Source organism: Homo sapiens, chromosome 17, assembly GCF_000001405.40.
Source record: "Homo sapiens chromosome 17, GRCh38.p14 Primary Assembly".
Lineage (NCBI taxonomy): Eukaryota > Metazoa > Chordata > Mammalia > Primates > Hominidae > Homo > Homo sapiens.
The window spans coordinates 34,112,495-34,137,879 of NC_000017.11; the positions used below are offsets into that span (position 1 = coordinate 34,112,495).

A 25,385-nucleotide genomic window follows, 5' to 3' on the forward strand; every position below is an offset into this window, starting at 1 on the left:
ATAAGCATGTGTATCACAGGGCAGCCAAGGGAGATGGCTAAGTACAAGAAACTCACTCTTTGACCACATAATTCTTAGCTGAAACCAGCCACAGATCAAATGCTTCACCAACACGGAATGCCTTATGTATTAATCCCTAGGCTCTGCAGTGAAGCCAGCATGTGAAACCAACCCTTCCCTGGTCCTCTGGGCATTTACAAGATAAGGCCTTGTTACAGGCTGGGTAGTGATGCTCCCTGAAGCCTCTTAGGATGAACGTTCTCACTCCATAAGACATTGTAAGCTCGTGTCTGTGGGATGTTGTGGGATGATTTCTCTAGCTTCAATATTGCTAAGAGTACAGGACACACTCAATAGGATGAGACCTATTAATGTTACTTCATGGTCTTATGGCTGAGCAGCTGTACTCTCTAGGCTTGGGTTGCGTCAATCATGTCCCTATTTCCCAAATCAAGAGTAGGGTCAAGTAGATTGGGGAGTGAGAAAGAGTGGAAGGCATCAGACATGAAACACATTCATCAGGGGCTAAGCAAGCACTGATGGGTTTCAAGTAACCAACAGTATTTTGATCACAGTATCTTCACTGTGGAATCTTCATCTGGGCTCTGTGCAACAAACCCCAAGTGACCAGTGAATGATGACCCTTTGGCTGGAGTGAGTAGACTGCAACCCCAAGGAGAGGAGCTCTTTGCTTCCAGACATTGCCCGAAGAGAGGGGCGAAGGAAGCTGGAGGAGTGGGGTGGAGAGAGAATATTATTGAGATTACTAAGTGTCAAGTATGTGTCAAGAATAAAATGAGTCATGCCTGTAATCCTAGAACTTTGGGAGGTGAAAGCAGGAGGATTGCTTGAGCTCAAGGGTTTGAGATCAGGCTGGGCAACATAGCAAGACCTTGTCTCTACTAGAAATCAAAAAGTTAGTTGGGCATGGTGGTGCACACCTGTAGTCCCAGTTTCTTAGGAGGCTGAGGTGGGAGGACAACTTGAGCCCAGGAAATCATGGTTGCAGTGAGCTATGATTGCACTACTGCACTACAGCCTATGGCAACAGAACAAAACTCTGTCTTAAGGAAAAAAAAAAAAGGAAGAAGATGAAAATTAAGCCAGGCGTGGTGACTCATGCCTATAATCTCAACACTTTAGGCGGCCAAGGCAGGAGGATCGCTTGAGCTCAGGAGTTCAAGCACAGCTTGAACAACAAAGTGAGACCTTGTCTGTACAAAAAAAAAAAATTGCCGGGTGCAGTGGTGTGCACCTACAGTCGCAGTTACTTGGGAGACTGAGGCAGGAGAATCACTTGAGCCCAGGAGTTTGAGGCTGCAGTGAGCTATGATTGGGCCACTGCCCTTCAGCCTAGGCAACAGAGACCATTTCTCTGAAAAAATAAAAATACAAAAAGAATAAAATGAGCTTGCTGATTTAGTACTCACTTCCTGCTAGGAAGATACAGTTATCCTCATCATTTAAAAGATGAAGAGCTTGAGGCACCAGATCTGCATTTAGTCATCCATCGTCTATTTGTTGAGCACTTACTATAGTCTAGAAACTGCCTCAGAGGAGACAGGAAGGATCATCACAAGGTGGAATTTCTCATTTGGTGCAAAGCTAGTTCATGAGGTTCCTCAGAACACACTATTCCCTGAAGCAGATGCTCTTAGATCAAGAAGAAATTGGCAGTGCAGTTGTCCAAGCTGGCTGATCCTTCCTGCCTGCACCTAGTTGAATGAAACAAACCTGAACAGGATTAGGAAAAGTGCTTTAAATGGTTGCACTTTAAGCCATCCCTTAGCACAACTCTTGGCTCATAGCAAAGGGAGGCACAGCTGGCATTCATCAACTGGGAGGACAGCATGTTCTGTCCCACACTCTAAAACCAAGCAGGTGGCTCTGGGAAGGTCTGTGAGGGTGAGAGAGAGAGACTTCTGCATGGGGCTAGCCCTTTTCCCATCAAGTAGGAAGAACATGAGATTTGGAGCAAGGACAAGGAAAAAATAATACCCAATTGAACCTGACTCTGCCACTCACTTGCTGTGTGTTTTTGGCAACATTCCTAACTTCTTAGATCCACATCTGCAGAAAGGATTTTTTGGGGGGCTAAAAGCAAGTCAGGGATGTACTACAATTTGCCCAATACCTGGTACCTAGCATCATTCTTTTTCCCAGAATAATGTTTCTGTGTTGAAAACAGTGAGGGTTAAGTGTTATCCTGAGAAGTGGGGAGCAGGTTCAGCCTATGATGCAAAGGGTGGAGGCACAGACACAGCCAGCATTATTCCCCAGAGCTCATGGAGCAATCGCCTGGAGCCACCAAAAGCTGTGGGTAAGAGGAGGCAGACATAAGGTCAGGAGGCAGGGCAATTAGTTAAGACAGTGAAGTCCAGCAGGTGCCAGGACAATTTGAATAATTCTGTCCAGCTCTGACTGTATAGCCCAGGGCCATGTCTAATGAGCACCCCGTGATTATTGTCTTGTAGAATCGGGTACCTAGAGATTTCAAGGAACCACTTGGAACAGAGAAACAACTTTCCCTCCGTTGCTCATTTCAGTGACCAGTAACCTTCAAGGTCAACACATTCTTTAGAGCCAACTCCATTTTGCTTTTGTTTCAGCTCTCTTCTCATCTAATTCTCTTGGGGCATGGAAAACAACTACTTGCTTAGTCACCCCATTGCACACCGACTATCCAAGTGGATAGCACAGTCATGTGCTACATTAGCCAACTAACCTGTCAACAATTAGAGCATGTAGTATCCTACATTAAGTGTTTTGGATGGTACAAAAACAAAGACATCTGTACCTATGTTTAAGGAGCTTTGGGAATCTGAATTGCAGTGCACTAGAACTCATGTTTCCCAATCATCCGTTCAGTACTAGAATCTCCTTAATGTTGCCCATGACAAGTAGTCACTCAACCCCTGCTTGAATTCTTCCTGGGACTGGAGGTTGCCTACCACCCAAAGAAACCATTTCATATAGACCTTAGTGCTGAGTATGGAGGACAGTGGATTCTCAACAGATGTTGAAGAGATGAAGGCCATTAATTGATGGCTTTAATTGTTTTTCATTCATTCACTAATCCATTTGTTAACACTCCTTCTCTTAACTTCTATTCTTGTGTGGCTTGGAGCTGCTCAAATATTTGCAAGTCTAACCAGGCCGAACATTTTCAATTCCTCCAAATATTCCTCATATGGCTTTGTTCCTAGACCCTGTCCTATCCCACTTCCCTCTTCTGGATAATGTTTCTTACAGGATGTGGCACTTAGAATTTAACAAGTTGAAAACACCATATTTCAGCTGTAACTTGACCAACACTCCCCTTATTCAGGTATATCTGCTTTTATCCAATAGCGCAAGAGTACATATAACTACATAAGTGAAAATGTGTTCCAAACACATATAACAATTTTAACAGCAGATAATGGGGAGAAGGCTGATGGGATCCACTCTATATGGGTTTTGAAGCCCCAAACTAGAGACACAAACCCAGAGAAGGGCAGGAAGAAAGGGAAAGCATATGATACCCAACATGGAACAGCATGAGATTAACACCCAAACCACTTGGTGTGAGAGAGTGTTGAGAGTATAGACAACTCTTGACAAAGTCACAGAGAAAACCGTTTGACCTTTGGTCTCCTGCAGTCCCTTTTCTGAGCACCTTTCTCCCTCTCAATTCAATGGGCAAGGTGGACTGACCAAGATTACAGTTGCATTGACCTGAGTTTGAATCCTTGTTTTACCAGTATGTATAATGTCAGAAAAATGCCTTTCTCTCTCTAGGCCTCTGTTTTTTATCTGCATAATGGGAACAATAATGTCTCCCTCCTCAGGTGGCTATTAAGGAAGGTAATAGATAGAACCTAGCACAGGGCTGGGAATTTACTTCAGTGTCAGTTTTTGCACTCTCCCATGTGAGTCTCCATCCTCATTAGAAAACCCTGCTCTGAGTAAAGGCTTTATGGCAGTGATTCACCCCTCAGTGTAGGCCAGTGAGGTGGTGTAATTCCTGCTGGAGTATGTCTGCTAAGGTGTTAAAGAAATCTTACATTCTAGTCAGGGGGTGGCAGTCAGGCTGGTGGTGGCATTTTCTTTCATTTCTTACCAATCAGCTTTCATGAAGCCTCTGAAAAAGCTTCTGCCTGCTCTCTCTCTCCCTAGACCACCTGTCTTTCTCCCTAGGGGTGAGATTTAAAAGATGCCACCCACAAGCTTGTGATTGTTGTTAGTATGTCTTACCTAAAGGGTAGCATTTCCCATGGCATGATTCTGTTAAGAATCTTGGGCCTCTTGGCAGTAATAACAATTCCTGAGACTCCAAAGAATTCCTTCTGAGACTCCGATACCTTTTGCAAGTGTGTGTGGGGGGAGGAGGGCGTATAATATGTGTGTGTGTGGGTGGGTGGGTGTGTACCAAGTGTATGCAATGTGAACCAGCCATTGGTTCAATGTGTGCACGGAAATAAGTATGTGTAGTGTGTAGCATGTAGTATGTGTGTGGTGCATGCATATGATGTGTTCTGGCAGAGAATATGCACCTGGAAATATGTATCGTGGGTTTGTGTATATGGAAAGTGTGCACACACACAGGTTACTGTCAGACTCCACTGTTTTCCCCAGATTCATCCCTTCAATTCATCAATCTGTCAGGATTTTTCATTCATTTAACCAACAGTCTTTATATAACATCTATATGGGCTACACAGTATACTAGGGAAGAGGAGAGAAAGATGAATAAGGTCTTATCTCTGGTGGAAAAAAGATATATAAACAGACAAATTATAGAACAGCCCAGTTTGTGTGACCCACATGTATAAGTGAGTACAGCCAGAGCACAGGGAGGGCAGTGAGCCATTCAGAGAACTCACAGAGGAAACGGCATATGGTTGGGGTTTTGACAGATGAACAGGAGTTTCCCCAATGTTGAAATGGAAGAACAACATTTGAAGCAGAGAGAATAGCCTGTGAAAGACTGAGAGTCATGGATAGGCACCTCATTTTGAGGGAAACTTTAGTACCTGAAGCATGGGTCTCGTGGGATGTGGTACCAGGAGAGGTAACCTAGGGAACCTGGGGTCCAGACTGGGAAGGGCTTTAGTTAAAGAGACGTGACTGCAATCATCCCAACAGAAGATGCTGAAGTCCTGGGCTCAGACCATAGCTGTGGGGGTGGAGAGGAGAAAGGCTGGATTCAAGATATGTTTCTTAGATACAATTGGCAGGACTGGTGATGGATTATTTGGGGGTGGGGCCTTAACAAGGAGGGAAGAGTTGAGGATGACTCTGAGGTTTCTGGTTTGGAAGATCCACTAGATAATGTCATCATTAACCAAGATTGAGAAAAGAGGAGGAGGAACAGATTCCAGGGGAGATTAGATAAATAACAGCAAGGAGCAAATCTCCCCATCAGCTTCAAGGACATTACACTATCCAGTCCTCAGAATGAAAATCAGCTCCGCAGTGCCTTTGAATGCCATTCTCTAGTGCAACTTCTTAGCCAGGACCTTGGAGAATTCCTGTAAGGCTTCAAGGCTCTTCTTCTGGTGTCAGGCTGGGGGGTCTCCTGGCTCATTTTCATGTGTCATGGTAGTTAAGCATAGTGATTAAGAGCTTAACCTCTGGATCAGGCAGCCATGGGTTTAAATCTTCCACTGTCACTAATGGATTGTATAATCTTAGAAAGTTTACTTAATTTTTCTAAGCCTCAGTTTTCTTATCTATAAAGTGAGTATACTAATAGTATACACCTCACAGAGCTACCAGTGGAATCAATGAGTTAATGTATGTAAGAGGCTCAGGATGGCATCTCACACATAATAATAATTCATGAAAGAGAAGTGCTATTGTTAGTAGCATGTTTTTTCTTTTTCTTTATTTTCTTTCATGTGTATGTGCTGGGAGTGGGGTTGGAGGAGACTATTGATCAGAGAAGGAAACAAAGACCAATCTTCTACAATTCCCCACACCGACATTTCTTCCAGAAGATCCCATTAAGGTTGATGCAGTGCAGTCACCATGCACTGCCCGTTAGACACACAGACCAGCCACGTTCTTGGCCACTATCAGCAGAATATGCATCTGGTCCCTTTCCTGGATGTGGGATGGATTTGTGATTATTGTTTTTGGATCTATGACCAGGATCCCTGTCCTGGAACAAAGGCCGGTCCGGGTTAGGAAATAAAGCAAGATTATCTGACCCTCTTGGCCACTGTGTTCCAGCCAGCTGAGTCACTCCTTCCCCAACACAGGAGGTGAGTGTGTCCTTACATCTCTGCAGGTCTCTTGTGAGATGTCCAGACTGTTTGGCTCCAATCCAGGGAACGGGTGCTCTAAGGTTGTGCTGTCCAAGCCTGAATTTCTGGAGCAGCTTCAAGTGGCCTTGAGCATGGATAAGAATCAGTCCTGCCCTGGCTGTGTTCACTCTGCTGACAGACAGATGATCTTTCATGATCTTTCATTGTATTACATAGACATTTTCTCTTGCCCATTCCATAATCTCCATTTTGGAGGCCAGGAAAGTGTGGCAAGAGAGATGTTTAGCTTGGGAACAGAAACGGTTCATCCTATAAGCTGTCTCCATCCTCTTCCCCAGTCATGGCTACTCAGTGGAGCCCACAGAATTCCTTCTGGGCTAGTATTTCAAAGGAAGCAAGTTTTAATCAAGTGTTGAAGAAAGAGAGAAAAGTAATAAAGGGAACATAATAGAAGGGTTATGGGCTTTGGAGTCACATGACATCGATTCGAGTCCCAGCTCTGCCATTTGCCGTCTGAGCTTGCCATGCTACCTAACTCTCCCAAGCCTCTGTTTCCTTACCTGAAAAAGGGGAAAACAAGATCTCTTCTACAAAGCATTATTGTATCAAGTGAGACAGCATAAATAAAAACACTGCTTTGTTAGCCTAATTTTTATACAACATGTATACAGTTTGATGTCTATTTTTACCTGTTAAATGCATTATGCTCCCAGGTTAATGCTTAGAGGATCTCTTCCTTTACCTCTTATTTTGTGTGCCTCCAAAGCCAGCCTCCACAACCCCATCTCCTCATGCCTGAATGTGACTCATTCTTCAAAGTCCAGCTCTAAAGTCAATTCCTCTATGAGCTTCCCTTTCTCTACACAGACACACACACACACACACACACACACACAAACACACACACAACCAGCCCTGGAAGAGCCCACTCCCCCTCTCTATGAATTCCCACAGCAATTTATCAGTTCATTCCTTCTGCTGGTTCATACTTTCTACCTTGTGTTACAACTGTGGACTACAAGCTCCTGTCCAGCCACAATTCCCGTCTGTTATGATTGTAAACTCTGAGGATGGGATTTGTGGACAGTTTGTTTTGAAGTCCCCCATGGTGCCTGACATAGGGTGAGCACTAACGTATATTATCCAATTAATAGACAAATTAACATTCAAAGCCTTGGTTAACCAGCCAGAACCCCTCATTCCACCTGTTTTTCTCTCTTCTCCAGATGCACCTCAGAACAGCAGGCAGGCTCATTCCTCATTCACACGATTTCCTGTGCACCCCTGACCTCAAAGCAATTGCAGTTTTTGTCATGAGGTTTCTTGAGCTCCATGCTCCCATTCAAGTACTAACCAGATTTGCCCCTGCTTTGCCTCCAAGATCACGTAAGATCTGGCACGTTGAAGGTAGTATGGCCATAGATTTGAGCTCCTTTCTGATGACAATTATGGGGGAACTGGATAACAAAGTCATAAGGATATGCAGTACCCAACTACCTGCTAGCGGTTTCACTTGGTATCCCATGAGAGCTATTAATTCAACACATTTAAAACTGAACTCCTCAGCCATCCCACCTCTGCCTCTCTCTGGTGCCCACTGCTCCTCCTGCTTTTTTCCCAGCTCAGTGGAAATCTGATACAGTATAGAGTGTGTCTGTGCACACGCATATGGCTCATTTAGATGAGATATTAGACTTAGAGTTGATAATGGAATGGTTAAGACTTTGGGGGATGTTGGGATAGGGTGAATGTATTTTGCACATCAGAAAGACACATATTTCAGGGGGTAGGGGAGAAGAGGATCAATTGTTATGGGTTGAATTGTATCTTCCCAAAAGATATGTTGGAGTGCTAAATCGCAGTAACTCAGAAGGTGACTTTATTTGGAAATAGGGTCACTGCAGATGTACTAGTTAAGACAAGGTTATACTAGATGGAGTAAGGTAGGACCTTAATGCAAAATGACTGGGGTCCTTCTTTTTTTTTTTTTTTTCTTTTTTTTTTTTTTTTTGAGACAGAGTCTTGCTCTGTCACCCAGGCTGGAGTACAATGGCACCATCTCGGCTCACTGCAACCTCCACCTCCCAGGTTCAAGCGATTCTCCTCCTTCAGCCTCCCAAGTAGCTGAGATTATAGGCGCCTGCCACCACGCCTGGCTAATTTTTTGTATTTTTAGCAGAGACAGGGTTTTACCATGTTCCCCAGGCTAGCCTTGAACTCCTGACCTCAAGTGATCCACCCGCCTCAGCCTCCCAAAGTGCTGGGATTACAGGCGTGAACCACCGTGCCTGGCCAGTACTGGTGTCCTCCTAATAAGAGGAGAAATATACAGGGAGAAACAGCCATGTGACAACAGAGGCAGAGATTGGAGCGAGGCATCTATAAGCCAAGGAACTCCAAGGATCCCAGCATCACCAGAAGCCAGAAGAGGCAAGAAAGGATCCTCCAGCCTTGAAGGAAAAGCATGGCCTTGCCGATACTTTGATGTTAGACTTCTAGCCCCCGATCTGTGAGACAGTAAATGTCTGTTGTTTTAAGCCACCCAGTTTGTGGCTTTGTGATGGCAAGCTTAGGAAATGAATGCACCCACTATCCTTCCAAACACTGGAAAGGAACTTCGCCTGTACTCTCCTGTCAACCCCACAACCACCCTTGTCCCAGTATTACCCCTCCCTCGTCTCTCCCATCTGCCTTCTCTGACCCATTTCCACCATCACACCCTTAGTTCAGTCCATCCTATCTTCTCACATGGAGCATTAGAAAGGCCTTCAAGCAAGTGTCCCTGCTACATATTCAAGTGCCCTCCAATCTACAACCCACGCTGATGCTGGAGGGACCTTTTTGAAATATCAATCTCATCATGTCCCTCCTCTGATTAAGACCTTGAAATGTCACAACAGCTCCTCCGAGTCTTCAGGACATTGACAAAGGAGTCTAAGCTCAAGATACTTCATGATGAAGGCTGTAACCATCACCCTAGATCACCTCCTGCCCCTACATTCCCATGCACCCTTTGCTCCCAGCCTACTAAAATACTCCAACATCAAATGATGCCATCCATCTAAGGAACTTCACATATTATCATCTTCTACCTGGCTTCTCTTGTTCACATAACAAACATTTACTTTCTTCAGAATTAGTTCAGCTATCAACTCCTTCAGGAGTCTTCTCTGAACCTTCTCCCTCCTATGATGCCCTTCTCTGCACTTTTAGAGGGGTCCCCTAGGCCACAGTACATTTCTACCAGGGCACTCAGTGCTTTGCTGCAGGGAGCCATCTCTGTATGACCAAAGCCCATATGGGCACAGAGCAGGTGCCCAACAAATGGTTGTTATCTTTTATTTATTTCATCTGTTATATTTATTTTACTTGTTGCCTTTTAATACTTATTTGTATTATTTGGGGCCAGCCAATGTGCTAAGGACTTGCTTGCATCATTTCATTTCCTTTTCCTACCCACCCTGTCAGTCAAGCATCATTATCTTCCTGGTATTCCCAAGGAGGCTGAGTCTCAACGAGATTAAATAAGTGCTCAGCACACCCAGATAGCAAGTGGCAGAAGGGGCACAAGGGAGCGAGGGTCCAGCCCAGGCAGCCGACTCCACCACACTACCAGAATGAATGAAGGAATGAGCCAATCATGTCAAAGTCTCGCAATTAAAAGTTATTCCCTGTGGTTCACGGTTCATCGGAATGCAAATGGAGACCTCCCCAGTTCCACCTGCCACTTCGATATCGACTTGTTTCTCATCTAGAGAGAGCGAGTCTTTCTCCCATGGTCCTCATCCGTCACACCCAGCTACATGTGTCTGTGTCAGGGGAGGAGAGGAATGAACACAAATGTTATAAACACTAGCAGGGGCAAAAGAGGAGCTATTTTATCTTCTCAGAGCAGAGCATAAAACCATAGCCAGTGCTGTATCCCAAGCTTTGTTTACAGTGTGTAGTGGTGAACAGAGTCCAGGCAGGGGAGGCACCCTCCCCCACTCACACCCACCCCACACCTTGTTGGAGGCAAAGACCAATTAAAAACACAAGCTGCTCAGGGAGAGATAAATCAATTTTCATCAGAGCAGCGCTCCTGACACCACCCTGACAAATCAATATCTTTCTCCATAATGGAGTCACTAAAGCTGCAACCAAGTCACTGGGAAACACAAAGCAGCCTCATAAAGAATATCGTCAAGTAATAAAATATCCAAATCTGAATTTCAATTATCCACTTTAAAGGGCACACTAATATCTTCAGTAGGGAAGTCCATCAAAAATTCATGGAACCAGGCTCCACCACTCATTCCCAGTCAACAGCTCTGTGGGCATCTAGGGTTCCAATTGCTCCAAGTTGTCGGAAGACAAGTCTTGCCCAGCCTATGAGAAGAAGGTAGAATCCCCTAGAACATGGCCCTCTCCAAGGGTGATAACAAGCTCTGGGCAGACAATCTGGTCTATTAAGATTCTCTCTGCTGGCCCTGGAACTAGGGAGAGGATTCATCTTCGCCTGGATTCTAGGCAGGGCAACGAAATGAAGCTGCTGAGATCAAGCAGAGCTGGCACCATTACCCAGAAACCCCACAGGAACCCGCCCAACCCAGTCAGGAGGAAGGCTTCGGCTCCACTGCAATGTCATTTCCTGCTTCCCTATCACCTCCTGCCCTCCCTTTGTAGACTACCAGGGAGGGAGAGGGGCCAGACTCCTGGGGAATGGCAGCCAGCTCCTGGCAGGTACCTCTTGCTCAGCAGTGGGGGTACCCTGGGAGTCACCTTGTACAGGCACCTACCTCTTGCTTTCCACCTCTGAGTCACCATGACAGTGACAATGACTGCATAGGTGGTGTATTGGCTAAGAGCCTGGAGTCTACAACCAGATAGTCTAGGTCCAAATCCAGCAGCTGTCACTTACAACCTGAGTGGTCTTGCAAGTCTCAGCTTTTCCGTCTGTGAAATGGAACAATGGTCTCCTGCTTCTTAGGATCATTGTAACCAAAAGCAACCTTTACTGAAGGCTTGACCTGGACTAGGGATCATTTGAAGCTTTTTAAAAATAGTAAGTTACAGGCTGGGTGTGCTGGCTTACACCTGTAATCCCAGCAGTTTGGGAAGTTGAGGTGGGCAGATCACTTGAGGTCAGGAGTTTCAAGACTAGCCTGGGCAACATGGCGAAACCCCATCTCTACAAAAATACAAAAATTAGCTGGGTGCGGTGGTGTGCATCTGTAGTCCCAGTTACTCGAGAGGCTGACACAGGAGAATCACTTAAGCCTCGGAGGTGGAGGTTGCATGAGCCAAGATCATGCCACTGCCCTCCCGCCTGGGTGACAGAAGTGAAACCCTGCTTCAAAAATGAATAAATAAAAATATTAAATTATATAATCTTCAAAACAACTGGGTGACATTGGTATTATTTTTCTCACCATTTTACAGACAAGAAGGTTGAGGCACAGAGATTATGTAACAGAAAGAATACAGGAAAGCACTTAGCACAGTGCCTGGCACCTTGTAAAACTGTAATGGGTGACATCACTTACTATTACTATCATATTTAATATACTTTCTAAGCAGTTTAAAGGCTGCTTCACGCACCGAAGCACCACTGACCTACACAATAGCATTTTAAAAATTCAAAATACTACAAAATAACCACTCCAATCCATACACTTTAGTACTGCTAGGGAGATCACTCTAAAACACACATATGGTGATACCACTTCCTTATTTATGGCTCAGACTTCTTAACTTTGCAGCAAAAGAGCCCCCTTAATCTGATGGGTTTGCCTGTTCAGCTTCAGTTATCATCCCACTTACAGTCAGTTCTGGTTTCTGTAACAGAATACCACAGACTAGGTGGCTTAAGGAAAAATAAACAAACAACAACAACAACAAAAACACATTTATTTCTCACACTTCCAAGTCTGGAAGTCCAAGATCAGGATGCCAGCATGGTCAGGCTCTTCTTGGGGGCCCCCTTCCCAGTTTATACGTGGCTGCTTTCTTGTGACATTCGCACATCATGGAGAGAGAGATCTCTAGCCCCTCTTCCTGTAATGACGCTAATGCCGTCATGGGGTCTCCACACTCATTAACTCATCTAAGCCTAATTACCTCCCAAAGGCCACACCTCCTTATATCATCATATTGGGGATTAGGCTTTCAAGATACAAATTTTGGGGGATCACCAACATGTAGTCCATAAAAATCCTCAGTGTTCCCCATGTCATAGATCACAGGAAATGTCCTGTTCACCCACACATCAGGACTTCTATGTATGTCATCTCTGCTTGTAGTGCCTTTCCTTCCCTATTCTGGAAAAACGTCTTCCCTTCCCTTCCAGAGACACCTCCTCCACAAAGCCTTACCTATACCCCAGGACAGACTCATGTCCTTCTTCCTCCGTGTCCCCATTGAGACTTGCATGCCCTCACCACAGTGCTACTGACACACAACAGCACTGTATGCCCAGTGTCTGCCCCCCGCTTCACAGGCCAGCATCCGCTGAAATGGCCAGGCCTTGTCATTAGTTTATCCCAGGCACCCAGCACAGGTCCTGGCACACAATGTGTATACGTGTGCGCATGTGTGTGTGGTTTATATTGTTTTTATTTCTAATTAACTTGGGTGCAGATGATGAAACATCATAATCTTGATCAGAAGACAACTGAAGGTCTTAATGCAGTCTTGGGGACAGCACCAATTCCACAGAACCCACTCTAGCCAGTGTAATCAGAAAAGTAATTTGTTAGAGGATGTTAGGTAGCTCATGGAATCTCCAGGAGACCAGAGAACCAGTCTCAGAAGGGAATAGACTGAAACGATACCCAAATGACAGTGCCAGACTGTCCCATGGGATCTCTGTGGCTACCATCTCTGGGCTGGAGCACTTCAGATCCTCTCAGTGTATTTTAATAAATGAGTAAGACGATCTGTAGGAATGATTCCTATCTTATAAAGGAGGAAGTTGAGGTGTAACATGATTATATGAATTGCCCACAGCCCCACAAGTAGTAGGTTGTGGGATTGTGTTCTCATGCCTAGATGTCTCCACAATACCACAGCCGCTAAGACATGGTTTGCGGGTGAGCTGGAGCTTCTGAAACTGAGGATCCAGGTACGAGCTCAGATACCAAATCCTGAGCTCCAGAGAGCAGCCAGAGGGCAGGGAGGTAACTGTGGAACACAGGAGGCCATGCCCCCCATCCACGTCACTCCCCTTGGTCACACGGCTATCCCACATGTCACAGCCTCCACTGGAGCGGAGTGGGACTGTGGACTAAGCTTTCTGCTCAATGAAGTGTGAATGCAAGTAAAGTGGGTTACCTTGGGTAGGCACATTCAAGAGCTGGTGTGTCTCCTCCCCTCATCTCATGGCAAGACATAGAGGACCCAGTGGAGGACTGAAGGCTCCAGGGGAAGACAGAGCCATTATACAGGAAGAGGCTTGGCCCTGAGCTGTCATGAGGAGGACTGCCTATCAAAGCCTTGATTGGATTGTGATGTAAGCAGAAAGGAAGTTTATTGTGACTAAAGGCTACACCAGTGAGACTTAGGCATCATCTGTGACAGTTATTAGCCCACTCCACTGCCTCATACTCAAAACCAAGCAGCCAAGCCTCATTATCCCACAGCCTGGGGTGGTGGAGGAAAGTACGGAATAAATAAAGCACCCCAGAGGTGAGATCTATGCCTGCTTTTCCCAGACTCCACCAGCCTGCCTTTCCTGCATGGGGCTGTTTAGCCTCAGCCTTCTGAACATGCCAAGGACCTCAGTCCTGTACGGCAACATCAGGGAGAACACTGAGAGATGTTCCCTCTTCTCCACTTCTCTCTCAGCCTCCCTAGGGAGTTGGCTGATCCATTACCTCTCATCCACTGTCAGGACAGAGCTACCAACTCTTGGTCAGCAGTACCACCGGCCTGCTGCTTAGAGCACAGATGAGGTTCTCTGACTCTGAACGAAGAGGCAAGGCAGGCACAGGCAGGGGATGGAGGTGGATGGGACCACACAGTCTTCTCACAATTTAGTGGGCACATGAGTCACCTGGGGACCTTGTTAAGCTGCAGATTCCGTTTCTGCAGAGCTGAGCGGGGCCTGAGGCGCTGCATTTCTACCCAGCTTCCAGGTGATGCTGATGCTGCTAGTGCGTGAACCATGTGCTGAGTAGCCCGGGCACGTCCCTGGAAAATACACATCCCTGACAGGGAGCACAAGCCTCTTCCCAGATTATTCCACCCTCCAACTCAGGACAGAGGGGTGCCCTTGAAGAGTGTCTAAGAAATTAAGGTGGGAGGGCCCATGGATAAGCAATGAAGCAGTCTGCCTGTAGGCTCCCAGTAAGCGTTTGCATTTGGCAGAATCCACAGCTGCAGGTAACAGTCACACAACTCAAATCAGCTTCAGTAAGAGGGGGTTTGTTTTTCGTTATGAGTAAGTTTTCTATGTGAAAGGCCAGGGGGTCAAAGGAGGCAGTATGAGCATCGGGGCTTTTCAAACTAGAAATGAGGACTTCCTATCACAAGATCTGGGTCTGCCTCTGCATCTCCCTGCCTCCCTGCCTTGCCCAGTCTGTCTCTAACTCTCATGATTGCTGATCTCTCCTTAGCTTCATTCTGAACTCTATAAAGCAAAAAACAAGATGGTCTTGGGTTTACCCTCCATCTATGACATTCTAGAATTTGTTCTGAGTCCGTAAAACACCAGGCTCCAGACAATGTGGCCCCCACAGCCAGAGTTTCAATTTAGTTGTGGATGCATCCCCTTTCTCTTCCCAGACCATCAGCCTCTTCCCATTTCCAAACCAGTCATGCAGCAATCAATTTTTCTCTACGTATAGGTAGCAGAATCGAGAGGGAAGGCATGGAGTGCAGGGACCCCTCTTCTCAGCCTGGACACACACTCTCTCCCTCAGTGGGGCAGCTGGGGGCTTCAGCTCCCCTGCTCTTCCTGCTGCAGGACGGATGCAACAGCTCCAGGGAGGAGTCCGATGCCACCTGAGCCCTCCACAAGAAGGGAGGGCTGAACTCAAGAATACAAGAAACTGTCCCATGCAAGGAAAAGAATATGATAAAAGAGGAGGCTGTACAAAGAGCAAATTCAGGGATCCCTGGACTGGCACTGGCTCAGAGCCAACCTGGCTTTCTCTATGCTGAGCATCCCGGGCCTTGGGCAAAGGAGACTGGGCCTGCTAGATCCATGTGTGAGCTCTACCTTATTCTAGCTGTGTGACTGTGGGGAAGTTACTCAACCTCCCTGAATCTCAGAGAGGCAAGGAGAGCACACTGACAGCCACAAATATATAATGATGATGATACCACATCCCACGGGTGCCTAACACCTTGTACAATCTTAATAAATGTTTGAGAAAAGGAGAATGAAGAAAAGAAGGAGGTAGAGGATGAGAAAAAGGGAATCAAATGGGGAGTAAAAGGCCCAGGTCATGGGTGTGAATAACTAACACATCAGAAGCTGTGAGGGTTTATTGGGTAAAGGGAGGCAAAGTAGTCTTATCAAAGTGGCCCGTGGGATTCCACTCTGCCACACCTTGTCCCTATTGAGAAGTTCAGCTCACTGAATTCCCAGGGACCCCAGGTGCAGGGAGCCTCATAGGACCTGGCAAAGCAGGTGAAGCTGTTCTTGTAATGCATCAAGGGAACCATGAACCTCCCTGGTCCCACTGTGCCTGCCTTGGGCCACCCGCTGCAGTGTGGTTCACTTTCCCCTGCAAACCACACTTATTCAATGTGATAGTAGAGGAGGAGGGGCCTGTTTATGTCACTGCATGACCTGAGGGATGTCACTTAACTTCCAAGAGCCTCAGTTTCCTCATCCTTTCAGTGGAGAAGGGAAAAAGTCCCTGCTCTGCCTACCCCACATTTATGGGAGTAGTTCTAGCACTAGAACTGTGCGCTAGATAAGCAAGTTATTATTGTTACTGCCTCCAGCACTCTCTTTAAATGAAGCATTTCTTGATGCCGTGTTACTACATGCAAAAAAGTCAGCATTGGCTTTTTTCCCCTTTTCTACAGAAAGTTTGGGGCTGGAGGAAGAATGAGGTTGTGTCAGCAGAGGGGGTAGTCTCGGTCTAGCTCAGCTCCAGCTGCACATCAGAGCCTCCTGGGGAGCTTTAAAAGTTGCCAGATGCCCCAGCGCCACCATCAGAAATTCTGATTTAATCCACCTGTGGTTGGGGTTTCGGCTAGTTATTTTTCATATCAACAAGTGGTTTCTTATATTGAGAACTCCTGGGCTCCACAGCAGAGGGAGTGAACATGAATACACCGAAGGAAGAGAACACTCTAAAGATCAGTGTGCAGAGTGATGCCTGACCCCCTACCCTCGAGAGCACGGGCTCATGAACTATGAGAATAAAAAGCGTATGAATCTAGTTTTTAATAGCTTACATCTACTAAATACCTATTACACGTCAAGCACTATGCTTAGCATGTGATGTCCTTTATCCCATTTAATCCTCACAACAGCCTAATGAGGTGGGGACTAGGATCACCCCACGTACAGGTGTGGAAACTGGCAGAGATGACTTTATATGGTGGAACCAGCATCCAAGCCCCACTCTGCCTCACTCTGAGGCCAAACTCTCCACTTGTACAGCATAACAAGCCTTGGAATACAATTTCTTTTCCTGTAAAATGTAAGAATTCTGGGGAATTATTGTCTGTCAGAATCAACTTTGGGAATCCTGGTAGGACATGACCGCATTTGATATACACACACATACCACAGGGTAGGAACCTCTTCCACACTCTTAAAGGGCCATGTCCCATGTTATACCTGGAACTAATAATTCCCAAAATTATTCTCTAGAGTGTTAAAAGGTTCTTGGCTAAGAATAAACATCACTGCCTATAGTACCCCCTCATGGAGACTCACAGTACCTGTCAACCACAGCAAAGGTGATGGATGAGAAGTCCTGCCCTGAGGAAATCTAAGTAGTTCTATTTCACCAAGATCTTTCTCAAGCTTCTTTGTCTACAGAAGCCTTTTATAATGGAATACCTAAAACAGGGCATACTAGTAGCTGCTTCCAATCTTCTTGGATCCCCAGATCAAAGCTTCCTTAAAATCTAGAAGACGGGGCATCCTATTATCAATGAACCAAGTACAGAACAAAGGCTAAAGCTATTGTCACCCTCCAGACATACCATGTCCTGCCTCTCAAGGGGGTCCACTGAGCTGGGAGGGATGCACCTGAACCAGCAAGGAGCTGGCCCAGTGGAGCAGGAAGTACTGTCATCCAACAGCCAGGTGAGTCCAATTAGAGAACGATAAAGCCACCATGGAAACTTGCACCTTGCCATTTACTTTAAGGCTATTGCTCTGCACTCTTCAGGCTATCTGTGGGGTTTAGGAGTTAATATTCATTTGCACATCATGAAAGGACTAAATTAGAGACATGAAGAAAGACAGAATGCTCTGACTGAGCCTGTCACACACTTTTCAAGGCGAGATCATTAGAGGCAGTCACTGCCACCCATGACTTCACCCAGCAAAGCTCCTTAAACCCTTACCCTGTGCAGGCTCCAAAGATAATGCAGTGAATCAGATTCAACCACTGCTTTCCAGGTGCTGAAATCAGATTCAACTACTGCTTTCCTCCTCATGGCTTACGAGGAGATGCAACAGTTATGATTTTGAATCCGTATAAATGGGGATATGGGCAAGGGCTCAAAGGAGCCTGGAGAACACAGAACCTATATCTAACTAGTCCCAGTGCAACACACATTTACTGGACATCATCTATGTCCCAGGTGTTGTCTGGACACACAGGGAAAGAGACAAGAAAGATATAGTCCCTGTTGAAAGACAAAGGTGTCTTTGGTCTTATAAGCTTCAATGCCCACACCTTTCCTCAAACAGAGTAAAGCATTTCCTCTTCCAAACTCTGGAATTCCCTTCCATGATGCTTCTCACACCATAATGAATCTGTTAGGATGCGTTTTCCCATCTGGGCAGCAAGCTCCCCAAGGGCTGGGCCCTGCATTACCCATGTTTGCATAACTAGTGCATCCCTTAGCAACTGCCTAGAAGAGAGCAGATGCTCAACAAATGCTTTTTGAAATGAAAAGATGGGTTTCAGGGGAAGGGAAGCTTATACATGAAATTATTATACGGCCACTCTGATGCCTGCCCTTAGGTAAAAAGCACCAAGGCATTTATTCAATGGACAGAGAACAAGTATTTAAGGAATGAGTACAGCGAGTAGGGAGAGATCGAGAAAGCCTTCGCGGAAAAAGCTGCATTGGAGATGGACATTAGCAGATGAGCAGACTTTCAACAAACCAATGCTAAGGGAGAGAAAAAGGAGGAATTCTGAGAATGAATAGTAGGAACAAAGCTGAGGGGCCAGTGGGGAAAGAAAGCCTTCGGGAAAGAGTGAATTGTATATTACGGCAGAGTTAGGCTTTGCACCATGAAGAATTGGAAACTGAGCCTCGAAATGCAGATTGGCAAGACAATAGAGAGCCATTGATGGACTGGGACAAAGTAGTGACATATTGAGAGCTGTGTTTCAGACAGGGCCATTTGGTCATGGGAATAATGGGGATGGAAGAGAGAGAGGAGCTGGGGAGGAATCAATTAGAAATAACCATTCTGAGTAGGCCATTGTATTCCCTAAATAAACTGCCAGCCCCCCAAGCTCCACTGCCTAGGCCCCAGAAGAGTCATTTTGGCATCAGGATAGCTCCCTTCCTTTGGCCATCAGGACCTATAAATAGCCACATAAAGGTTTCTGCCCCCAGCTCAGCCACAGAGGCTCCAGGGCTGAGCTGTCACCCTCCAGGACCTGAGCAAAGCCAGCCCTGACTTACCCCTGCCTGGGCACGCAACCATTCCTGGGGGGAAGCCAGCTTGTGGTCTGCTGACAGCAGGGACATCTTCCTGAGCCTAAACCCTGTCCACAAATGCTCTAGAGATATTTCACACTCTACCACAAAAACAAAGGAGAAATATTTCAGTCTGTGGCTCTGCGTGCCTTTCCTTTAATCCCACTGAGACCCAGGGTCTGCTGGGCAGGGGCCATTGCCGAGGCCCCCTGTCCAAATGGGACCAGATAAACAAGAGGCCCTGAAAGGTCTGAGAATCTGGATCCCAGCGTGTGAAAGCCTGAGTGCTGGCCCACTGACGAATTACCTTGGGTCTAGCTTCTCCATTCTTCTCTGAGGGACATTTAGGAACTCTGGTCTCTCTTGGGGCAGTGGGACGGGGACATTTTGGAAACTTTTGTGACAATTGTAGGTGCTGTCCTGGAATTTGAGACACCATCTCTTATGCCCTATAAGTTTGATCTCTGGGCTTTCTACAGGAGGATCATAATGCCTCTGCAGGGGACACAAGAATGTAAAGCCTGGCTAACCTCAGCTGGGATCTCAACTTTGCCACTTACCAGAGTATGGCTTCAGAAAAGTGCTTTAACTTCCTTGAGTTTGAATCTCCTAGTGTGTCCGGAGTTGGTTCCTCCCGGTAAGTTCGTGGTGTCGCTGACTTCAAGAACGAAGCCGGGGACCTTTGTGGTGAGTGTTACAGCTCTTAAAGGTTGCGCAGACCCAAAGAGTGAGCAGCAGCAAGATTTATTGTGAAGAACAAAACAACAAAGCTTCCACAGCGTGGAAGGACAGGTAGACGGGTTGCGGCTGCTGGCTGGGGATGGAGTGCGAGCCGGGTGGAGGCCAGCTTTTATTCCCTTATTTGTCTCCGCCCATGTTCTGTTTTTGTCCTATCAGCGTGTCTTCAAGGGTCTTTCTTTTTTCAATCCTCCCTGCAACTGGCTACTTTTAGGATCCTGCTGATTGGTGCGTTTTACAGAGCACTGATTGGTGCATTTTACAGAGTGCTGATTGGTGCGTTTTACAGAGCACTGATTGGTGTGTTTTACAGAGTGCTGATTGGTGCATTTTACAATCCTCTTGTAAGACAGAAAAGTTCTCTAAGTCCCCACTCGACCCACGAAGTCCAGCTGGCTTCACCTCTCACTAGCCTGCAAAATAGGAATAACAACTACCTTCCCTACCACTGTGGGCTGTTGTTAGGTAACAAGTGTGTGTGTAGGTGTTCTTTATAAGCTGTGAAGTCTCAGGTAAAAAATCAGGCCATACTTCAACCATCCATCCTGGAAGCCTGTGCTCAGCTGACCTCTGTAGACAGTGAGGGTAGGGCTCCCTAGAAGCACAGTCTCCTCCACAGAGGGACCTAGGCCCCAATCTAACCCATCGCGGCCTGTTTGGGGTCACCCCAATTTAATACCACATCTCCCTCTTTCATTGTGAGAGGGAACTGAGATGATATATGTAAAGGCAGAAGAGAACTACCAAGTATTTATTACTTACTGTTAGCCAGACTCAGTGTTGGGCATCAATTATCTGATTTAATTAAATGTTCATACTGACTCTGGGATTGATAAATAGATGTATGATATGATATAAATACATATGATTGATTTCCCATTTTAGAAGCAATGAAAGGGTATGAACTCAGATTTCTTTGCCTTCAAGCGTCTTTCTTTTTCTTGGTTATTTTCTACTTTTATTTTTGTGGTGTAGGGGAAGGGGTAGTGTCCCTGGGTGGGTGGGGGGCAGAGCCATGGCAATGCTCGGTAAATGGTTCTTTCCTCTCACCTAAAAAAGGTGCTGGGAGAAGCTACACCCCTGGGAATCCCTCATGCTCTGGAATTGGCCCAGGGTCAGGCTGTCTCTGTTGAGCTGGCTACAGAACATCAGTGCATTCTCCCAAGAGCAGCCCTGGCTCTGAGCTGTGGGACAGAAGCCCAGGAGGCTGACATTCACACGCATGGCCACAGGCCAGGGTACCAGTGATGCCAATGAGCCTGGTACTCACCTGGCTTGAGGAGCCTTCGTAGGGCCTGGCACCAGCAGGTGAAACATTCTTGTGAGGCAGCCAAGGAAACCCACAGCTTCCCTGGGCCTCACTGTGTCTGCTAAGGGCCACCTGCTGTATGCAAAGTGATTTCTCCTGCAAATCACACTTATTTACACCTAAGGTCAACTAAGTGACATAGGGGTTTTACATCCCAATTTACAGGTAAACCAGTGGTTCTCAACTGAGGACAGTTTTGCCCCTCAGGAGATACTGGGTAATGTCTGGAGCTTTGCAGGGTGAGGGGTGTGGGAGGAGCACTTCCAGCCAGGGATACTGCTAAGCATAGTGTAATGCACAGGACACTACAGTTTGTCCAGCCCCCATCACAAAGAATCCTGTGGCTCAAATTGTCACTAGTTCCAAGACTGAAAAACCCTGAGAGAAGGAAACTAATTCTGAGAGATACTTACCAAGTTCACATAGCTGATGAGTGCTACAGTCAGCTTCCAGGTACTGATTCTCTAATTCAGAAGCCAGCATCCCTTCTTTATATCTGTAATGGTTAATGCCCCCTTGAAGTCTGAAATGCCCCAAAAGGAAATGCTGTGAAGCCTTCTAGAGTCATGTTGTAGTTGGCATCAGAGGTTTGGGGGTGAACAATGATTTAATTGCATTTGAAATGTTGTAAATGGTCACTTCTCTCTGTGACCGCCCTATCACCCTCAGGCACAACATCCATCTTTAAGTACTAATGGTCTTGTCAAATGCCCCAAAGTCCCCAGAAAGGGGCCACATTGTCCTCTCACCAGAGCTGGACAGTCACCTTTAACCAAGTCCATCCGGGCAAGTTAGATATCCATGCCTGTCCCCAAGAGAAATAATCCAGGTCAAGTCCCTGGCAAAGAGTAAATGCACAATGCAGGAAGGAGAGAATGGAAGGAAGAGGAATGGGAGTGCAGCCATCGTAGAGATGAGGCTGGAAGCACCAGCAAAGCCCAGGCCACAAGTGCCAGAGAAACCTAGAAGGGAGACTTTGCCCTGAGTCCAGTGATGAGACATGGAGAAGTTCTAGGTCAACAAGTTATGTGATTACTTTCTCAATGCCAGTTTGCACCACATACTCCAGAATCTGTTTCTATTTGCGCCAATCCCAAGATTAATCAGGTCTGACCTCAGGAAGGAAACCCTCTGCTTATGACCACTCTCGTAGACAGACATGCAGCCAGTCATTTCTAGGAGAGGGAGCTCACAGTCAAACTGCACTCCTTACTCTGAATCCTGGGGCCACCCCCTACCTTCGCCCACCCATACGTAGGCAGTACCTCCTTGGGCCCCTTCAGTTCATACCCCTCACTCTGCCAAAAATATAATAATAGTAATGCCTTGAACTTTGGAATTCTAATTTTCTGAACAGCTATAGCCAACCACAGGTCATTACTAAAAGACTGGTGACTGTAGAGTGACATTTGAGACCCCACAGACAGGCTTGTCAGAACTCCAAAGCCAAATGGAATGCTTTGCTAGAAGTGGAGGCTCTTTCTGCTAGATAAGTTGGAAAGCTCTTAATTAATAATTCCAAAACAGAACTTCACAACTTCTCTGAGTTCTGGCCAGCAAAGCCCAGCCAGCGATGGCCTGGTCAGCCTACACCAAAAATTGCACTTGTCTTCCAACTGTGACCAAGCAGTCCCAAACAGGCCTGCCTGCTGGCAGCTGAATCACTGAAAGCAGGAACATGGCATAGAAGATGAGCTAGAGATAGAAAGTGGCTGAGGACCAAGTCTAGGGCTAGCATCTTCGTAGGAGAAGATCAGTCAGCAAACCTAGCACTAGGTTTGGCTTCCAACTCTCCAGACTGCTGGTTCTCTTGCTAGTAGTTTTCAATCTTGGCTGGGCATTAAAATTAACCTGGTAAGCTTTTAAAGTCCTGATGCCTGGACATCAACCCAGACTTCTCTGTGGCGAGACCCAGACATCTGTATTTTTTTACAGCTCCCCAGGTGATTCCAATGTGCAGCCAAGGTTGAGAATCATAGACTTAAATCTTCCCTTTACACCTTGATTAATTCTTTCAGCACAGGATGATGAAGTTTCCCACCACCTGAAATATTGTTTATAGTCTACAGTCAGTAATTCACATCAAGGACTTGCACTCCACAAATATATGATTAAAAGGTGAAATATCCACTAAAGGCAGGACTTGTATTTTAAATAATAATAATATTAATAGTAAAACAATCAAACAGAAGCCATTCCTTTATAGTATCTTTCATATCTAAACCATCCTCAACCAGGATGCTGCCAATCATTATTCTAAAAAAAATAATAATGTGGTCATGTCATTGAGAATGCTCAATAGCTCCCTATTGCCTGCGTCAATCAAAAAACAATTATAAGCACCCCCACCAACTGAATGGAGCCCTCTTGGCCAAGAGGATCCTGGAGAAACCTGAAAAACTAGTTCAGGCTGTCATGACAGGGCAGGAGTCAGACAAACCTAGTTATACCCTCCTCCTTTGGAGTCTAGGCACAGCTGACCAGCATTAACATTAAAACAAAGATTATAAGACTGACAAAGCAGACTCTTTGTAGCAATAACATACTAAACTCCAACTTGACTCTGACGTAACATCACATGACAGCAGGCCCTGAAGGAAATCTCAGTATTTTACCCCAAAATACATTTTCTTTGACTTATTTTGAAATGGCCCTGCAAAGCCATCTCTTATGGGGAAAATTTGCATTCTGTAGAGAATCCCTTTCCCCTTCCACATATCTTCTTGATCCAGGAGAGATTTTACTAAGAGTCTGACACCTTTTAAGAGACATTTACTATCCATTATCTCTGAAGCCCCTTACCTAGAGGCTTTATCTACATAACAAGAACCTTGGCTTCCACAACCCTACTTACTTAATTCAATGATTTCCTTATGCTGACTTCAACTCTTGAGGCAAAGCTTAATTCTTTCAATCAATTGCCAATCAGAAAATCTTTGAATCCAATCATGACTTGGAAGGCCCCCTTCCCTTTGAGATGTCCCATCTTTCTGGGCTGGACAAATGTGTTACTTACATTATTGATTTATGTCTTTGCCTGTAACTTCTGTCTCCCTAAAATGTATAAAACCAGGCAGTACCTCAACCACCTTGGGTACGTGTTCTCAAGACCTGTGTCATGAGCCGTGGCCACTCATATTTGGCTCAGAATAAACCTCTTCAAATATTTTGGAGAGTTTGGCTTTTTTCATCAGCACAGACAATACTCAAACATAGTGGGCCTCCCTCACAGCCTGTCTCTGGCCTGCTCATGCAGCATTGTCTCCCAAGCCCACATTTTGCATACTCTGGACCCACCTGTCTTGTAACTTCATTGGCACATTTCCCTGGCCCTGGAAGATCCTCACCTGCTCTTTTCACTTGTTATATTCTACTCCTTTTGAAGGCAGAGCTAAAATGCTACCTTTCCCATGAAGTCTTTCCAATCCCCCTAGAAGGAATGAATCACTCTCGCTCCCTCTGCACTAGCTTCCCCTGCCATGCACAGTATAGATAATTCTTTCATGACAGTTCTAATTAAAATTATTTGTTTGTATATCTGTAACCTTCTAAAAATATGAGATTCCACTGAGAGCAGGGGACATGCCATATCCATCCTGGACAAAACAGACAAAATGAATGAATAAGTGGACATCAGGTTGAATTAACTGCACATGGTAGACATGTGATTGATCCTCCACAATTGAGACTTTAGCCAATATGTGCTATTTGATTCCAAGATGCTTTCCCAGCAAACAGACTGAATTATATTTTCCCAGGAAGGTAGCTTTAAATCCATCAACTGAAATCATCATTATCCACATTCCATGTTAATTCTCTAGGTTTGTTAGCATGCCAGATAATTAGTGTCCCTGTGGAGGCAAGGCAGAGAGCAGGTTGTGTGGAGGAAACATCTCATTTGTGGACCATCAGGTGGAGGGCTCCTGGGCACAGTCTTCTTTGTGTCCGTTGGGTGTTTCTCCCCTCTGTAAGCTCCACCCCACATCACTTTTGTCTTAGTCTGTTCAGGCAGCTATAATAGAACACTATAAATTGGGTAGCTTACAAACAACAGATTTATTTCTCACAGTTCCAGAGGCTGGGAAGTCCAAGCTCAAAGTGCTGGCAGATTCAGTGTCTGGTGAAGGCTCGTTTCCTGATTCATAGATGGTGCCTTCTAGCTGTGTCCTCATGTGGTGGAAGGAGGGGTGGGTCTCTCTAGGACCTCTTTATAAGGACACTAATCTTACTCATGAAGGCTTCACCCCCCATGA

At 45.8% G+C, this 25,385-nt stretch overlaps 1 protein-coding gene and 1 pseudogene across 1 annotated transcript in view, besides 1 other annotated feature; both read right to left on the reverse strand.

The window, feature by feature from the left end:
* ASIC2 (acid sensing ion channel subunit 2) overlaps nucleotides 1-25,385 on the reverse strand; it is a 1,143,682-nt gene that overhangs the window by 1,099,408 nt on the left and 18,889 nt on the right. The gene's annotated exons all lie outside the window — the stretch shown is intronic.
* RNA5SP438 (RNA, 5S ribosomal pseudogene 438) lies at nucleotides 7,562-7,673 on the reverse strand (annotated as a pseudogene).
* Nucleotides 15,920-16,039: a silencer, noted in NCBI's record as "fragment chr17:32455433-32455552 (GRCh37/hg19 assembly coordinates)". NCBI's record gives its function as "represses an EF-1alpha promoter that drives an FKBP-Casp9 reporter gene in an ReSE screen in HepG2 liver carcinoma cells {active_cell/tissue: HepG2}" and the evidence as "EXISTENCE:reporter gene assay evidence [ECO:0000049][PMID:32094911]".